The sequence below is a fragment of the Homo sapiens genome, chromosome 11, assembly GCF_000001405.40.
Source record: "Homo sapiens chromosome 11, GRCh38.p14 Primary Assembly".
NCBI classification, from domain to species: domain Eukaryota; kingdom Metazoa; phylum Chordata; class Mammalia; order Primates; family Hominidae; genus Homo; species Homo sapiens.
Genome location: NC_000011.10, coordinates 71636636 through 71642515, shown reverse-complemented (window position 1 = coordinate 71642515; position 5880 = coordinate 71636636). Strand labels below are relative to the sequence as shown.

General features: G+C 55.5%; 1 pseudogene, besides 1 other annotated feature; it reads right to left on the bottom strand.

Moving 5' to 3' along the window:
• Nucleotides 1-956: 956 nt before the first annotated feature.
• Nucleotides 957-3467, bottom strand: LOC645544 (translation initiation factor IF-2-like; annotated as a pseudogene).
• Nucleotides 3042-3221: a silencer, noted in NCBI's record as "silent region_3710". NCBI's record gives its function as "represses an Ori minimal core promoter by ATAC-STARR-seq in GM12878 lymphoblastoid cells {active_cell/tissue: GM12878}" and the evidence as "EXISTENCE:reporter gene assay evidence [ECO:0000049][PMID:35858748]".
• Nucleotides 3468-5880: the final 2413 nt, after the last annotated feature.

The following is a 5880-nucleotide window of genomic DNA, read 5'->3' as shown; positions in this document are numbered from 1 at the left end:
GCCTGGGAGCCACTCCAAGGGACATCCAGTCACATTAAAACCTCAGCCATCCAGAGCACCAGGCCTGGTGATGAGAAAGAACATTTTATCCTTAAAAACATCTGAATGCCCATGCTGCTTCTTGCAGAGAAAAGTCCAAAATAATCTGCTATTAAAGAACGAGGATGGTTTTGACATTTTTACCAAGCTAATGGTCTACGCAGACAAAATCTCATAAAAGTGCACTCTGTTCTTCTTGATCCACTCAGACATGGCCTGTGAGTGAAGAAACGGGCTCTCCTCCTCAAAGAAATTGCTGCTGATCCTCACACCAGCCTGACACTGCTTCATGGGTTCTTCAAAGAGAGTATTCCCATAGAAACTAAAAGGGAAGAGGAATGTGTCTGGCGGGCATTGTGGGCAGCAGTGGGTTTTGGGCCAAATTTTAAGTTTGAAAATCAAGATTCCCTCTTTTCGAGGGGCCGCCAGACTGAGCAGATACAGACACCGTGAAAAGAGGGTGCCATATTCAGATTCAGGAAACAAGGATGGTTTCTGTTCAGTTCCTGCATCATCCTTCAGGTCATGCGATTCCCATTTCCCTCTGTGGACCAAGAAATTCAGTGGGGTTTCTGCCTTTTAAATATTTCATTATCAATATATCATCCTTCTAGCCTCCAGAAAGCATTTTAACATGGAGATTCTGGCTTAAGACACTTGTGGGTCTGTCTCTCTCTCTCTCTTTTCCTTGAAACAGGGTCTCACTTTGTCACCTAGGCTGGAGTGCAGTGGCATGATCACAGCCCACTGCAGCCAGACCTTCCAGGCTCTAGCAATCCTCCCACCTCAGCTTCCCAAGTACTTGGGACTACATGCACGCACCACCATACCTGGCTTTTTTTTTTTTTTTTTTTTTGGTAGATATGAGGCTTCACCACGTTGCCCAGGCTGGTCTTAAACTCCTGGGCTCAAGCAATCCTCCCCCTTCGGCCTTTCAAAGTGCTGGGATTATTAGCTTGAGCCACCACGCCCGGCCAAGAACCTTGTGATGCACCCCAGAACAAAACATCACTGCAAAAACACACCAAGGCATGAGTTTCAGTCCTAATTCCCATTTATCCACCATACACTATGTGCCAGGCACAATGCTAAGTGCTTCTATGGACGAGCTTCCCTTAATCTCAGCAGTAACAACCCCAGGCAATGGGGCCTGTTGACCGATCCATTTGCCACTGAAGACAGTAAGGCTCAGAGAGGGTAAGTGGCTTGTGCCATGTCAGCCAGCTAAGGAGGGGCAGAACCAGGATGCAAACCCCAGCCACCTGGCTCCAGACTCACGTTCCCAAGGTCCCACTACACTTGGTCACTCCATTGCATTCTGGTATCCTGGTCTTTGGCAGAGTCTACGTAAAAGAGGGAGGTAGAGGGAGTGAGAGGGACCTCACGCAATCAAGTTTCCCGGCGTTACACTGCCACCGTCATTGTGTCCCCGACCAGGACCTTTCCCTTCTCATCCTTTCCGTGATCGGCCCTGGAAAACCTTCCAGAGAACTGTCCTCCTTCTCCCGGGATCTCAGAGAAAATTCATCTGAGTTCAGTGTCCAGGTGACCCAAGCTCTGAATGCAGTAAAGTGCACGGGGAGATGAGGATGTCACCATGAACAAGCCTCCCAGACAGCATCCAGGAGCAACCCCAAGACTGGGCAGTGGGGGCTCTGATGCAGCCCACGGCGAGGAGGGCTGCCCGTGCTGCCTAAATGGGTTCAGAATGAAGGCGCCCTCTCTCCCATGTGGGGCTCATTCACCACGAAACAAATGATTAAGACACGCTCAGCTGAGCAAATGGTCAAACATAAAAACATGTGGAAGGAGCAAAGAGGTCAACCCCATTATCCATCAAAAACCATCAAGGTGGCGGCCCTCACTGAGGGGTACAGCTCCTCAGCGGGCCCTCATCTGCCCTCCAAACCCACGTGCCTCCCCAGTGGAAGGCCAGCAAAGCCACACAGGAAGAGTTGGGGTAGGAAAGCAGAAAGTGAACCCCAGGAGGCCAGGCTGGCCACGGAGCCCCATCGCACACACACAGGCCCGGTGACTCAGGGTTCCACGTGTGCAGGACACCGGGAGCTCACAGGGACAGCGCCCCGGGGGATGCAAGGAACTTTCCCTCTCTGTCCCTCTCTGTAGGGATGGAAAGAGGAGAGCGATTTCTGGGATGGAAGCCATCTGCCTCCTCTCAACTCTCGCTGCCCAACCAGAAAGGGAAGAAAAACAGGAAGATGCGGGATAGGTGAGGAGCTGGGTGAGCGCCGCCAGCCCGCAGCCCAGCAGAGCAGGGCTTGGCCAAGCCTGGCTCCAGGTACTTCCCCCCTGCCCCCACCACAAGCCCCTCGCCAGGTGAGAGGCACCGGCAGAGTCCCAGACAGATGCCCCAGACAGGATGCCCGGGGCAACCCCCGCCCCTTCCCCTGCTGAGGGCCCCCAGGACGCGGGGCTCCCCCTCCTCTTTTGACTAGCCGCAGAGTCCAGTGGGTCTCTAGTCCAGGGACGTCGTGGGAGAATCAGGAAGTCTAAGCCACACAGCCGAGAAGGGGCAGCTGGCGTCTCGGAGGCCGTCACGAGCTGTCACTCCGCGCCCGCCGGAGTTGCCGCTCAGTTACCAACTTCAACCCGGGGCCGGCCACGGAGCCTCCCGCCGTCCCTACCCCGCGTCCCCGGCACCCCCGCGCCCCCGGCACCCCCGGACCCCCGCGCCCGCGTCACTTACTCCTCTGCCGTCGCCACCTGTCTGGGTGCAGGTCTCCTCCCTGCCTGGCCGCGGAGCGTCCTCCCCGTCCTCGCAGTCCTCGGGCTGTGCGCTTCCCCGCTCCAGCAACCAGCCGCAGCCTCTTCTCCTCGGGAGGGACGTCGTCCTCCTCCCTCCTGGGCCGGCCATCCTTGCCTCGGGGCTTGCCAGTGGCTTCGGAGCTGCCGGAAGGGCTGGCCATGGCTCCGGGGGCTCTGCCTGCACTTGGGGAAGAGGAAGGACCCGGCGCGAGCGGCCTCTCGGCGGAGCTGGGGCGTCTGAGCGCGGGCTCGGTGGGTCCGCGCGGCTCGGAGCTGGGCATCGGGGCCGGCGCGGGCTCCTCCGCGGGCCGCTCCTGGCTCTCTAGCGCCCTCTGCTGGCCGCTCGCACGCACCGCGGACACGCCGGGCCGGGGCCTGCGCCGCGCTCACCTGCCCTGGCCTAGGCGGTCGCTGTCCCCTGCTCTTGGCCAGGCCAGCTCCGGCCAGGCTCTGCACCTCCTCCCCGCCCCAGCCAGGTTGCACCCCGATGGTCTCCCTGCCCAAGGAGGAGAGAAGAGAAGGGACGCCCCGAGAGGGTGGACATCGGCCACAGCCACCTTGTCTTTGCTCTTACCCTGTGTCTTGCATGATTTGGAGGTGGTGGGAAAACCGAGGCTGCTCAAAACTCGTGGAGAATTCCTCCTGCAAGATGACATGAATGCACCTTCGCGTTGCCTACCAACAGATCTTTTTTGAGCATCTCTGTGGCCCACGCGTGGTGATGGGGGAGGGGATATTTTGGTGAACATGACAGGCATGGCCTTCACACAGTAGGGCTCAGCCCTGGGTGAGAAGGCATTGAGAACGGACATTGTCAATTGGGCAAAGGGAGGCCAAGGAGAAGTGCTGGGGGCATGGGAACTGAAAAAGACAGGAGGCTCAGCAGGTCTTGGAGCTGGGAGAGGGACAGCAGCAGCGGCTGTTCCAAAGGAAGCAACAGCTGAGAGACGTCTCAGAGAGTTGTTCTCAGCCCAGTGGATCATGTTTGGGCAGAGGGAACAGCGTGTGCAAAAGCCCAGAGGCTGGGAAAGAAGCAGAAAGAGGACTGTGGGGCTGGAGCATGGAGGGCGAGGGGAGAGAGGTGTGGTGGGCAGACAGATTGCCTGGGACCCAGCCGTGCAGGGACAGAGGAGATAGGGGATCCTTGCAGGCCCCCAGCCAGGGCTCAGGCACAGAGATAATGCAGGTGGGCAAAGAGAGGAGATGTGGAGAAATATTTTGGAGGCATGACCTGATGAATGAGCCCAGGATGCACTCTTAGTGTCAGTGTGGAGCTCCTTCTTTGGCTGTGTGATCAGCTGAACCCGGGGGTATTTTCTGGACATCGAGGTGCTACACCAAGAGTCCAGGACAGGCTAAGTGAGCACCAGCAGCTCCTGGCCTACCTCAAAAGCAGGAGAGACAGGGGAGACTGGGGAGGCCGGGGAGGAAGGGGAAGCCAGGAAGGCAGGAGAGGCCAGGGAAGCAGAGGAGGCCAGGGAGGCAGTGGAGGCAGGAGAGGCTGGGGAGGCTGTGTCCTTTCCATGATTCTGCCCGGGATCCTAGGCCCCTGAACTCCCTGAGCTTCTCCACCCCAAGCGCTGGAACCATGTTGCACAATGGTCTCTCCACTAAGCTCCTGATGGCAGACCCTACCCTGCTGTGCTCCCTATTTCAACCCTAACAGCTCTCACAGTGGGCAGCACATAGTAGGTGCTCAGGAAACACTGGTGGGAGAGCACATGGGTCTGCTCAGCACCTTCCTCTCTCCTCCAGCTCTCCCCTGTCATGAAATAATTCTGATAACGACACATGGGCTTTGAGACCCTCTTCTATTACTTTCCATATGCTAATCCATCTATACCTCACAACAGCCCTGGGGGTGGGTGCTATTAGGATGTCCATTTTACAGAGGAGGAGACTGAAGTATAAAGAGGGTAAGTGACATAGGCACACTACAGGGGCCGGGGCCAAGTGATCGCAGCACTCAATCCCCAAAGGCAAGGTGGACACAGTTACCATAAAAGACAGCAGAGGCAAAGCTGCAACCAGAATAGCCTGACTCGCAGAGACCTATGGTGCCAGCTGATCGTGGCATTCCTAGAAGTGAAATAGGTCAGAAGCCTGCCACATTTTTACTTGATCTGTGTTTGCAGAAGATTTCTAGGTCAGGTGAGTAGAAGTCTAATCTGAATCATAAAAACAGAGTCACAGTCCCCAGTCAATTCCCAGACATAAGCCAGTTCACAGACCCGGAGTCCCTTGTCTGAAATGGGAAGCCAGGTCCCCTCCAGAAAGGACTCTACTCCACTGCCAAAAATTTATACTGTCAATTTTTCTCCCAGCCTGCCCCCGAAGGAATACACAGCCTTTTACCAGGATGACTGAACAGGGGAAAAGGAACTAATGAGATCTGTGCAGGATCACTGGACACAGGCTCTGAACTGGCACTAGGGCAAGACTAGGGTCTACCAGTCAGAATAGGCATTTTGGAGGTCCGGTGAATGTTGGTGCAACTTCATGTCATGGTAGATCCATTGGGTCCCCAAATCCATCCTCTGGTTATATACAAAGTGGCCTTGCTGAGATTAAAATTCAGGGCATCCAACATGGAGGCTGTGCTCTTACTCATGAAACATTCTGACACTAGTAACCAATTTAAAAATGCAAACATCTCCTGGGGCTAGCCAGAGTCCTCCAAACAGTCACGTAAATTGGTTCTGTCAAGGATTTCCTCCTACGCCCTGCTGAGAGCCAGTTGCAAGGACAGACTAGGGAAGGGCATTGGGTAACTTTGTTTCTAAAAGCTCTTTTGGATAAAGACGTTTGGGAAAAGAAGCAAATAGAGTTCAGCAGAAGAGGTAAGAAAGTAAGTTTATGTTTGGCCAGGCACGGTGACTCACACCTGTAATCCCAGGACTTTGGGAGGCCGAGGTGGGCAGATCACGAGGTCAAGAGATCGGACCATCCTGGCCAACATGGTGAAGCCCCGTGTCTACTAAAAATTCAAAAATGAGCGGGCCATGATGGCACACGCCTGTAGTCCAGCTACTCGGGAGCCTGAGGCAGGAGAATCACTTGAACCCAGGAGGCAGA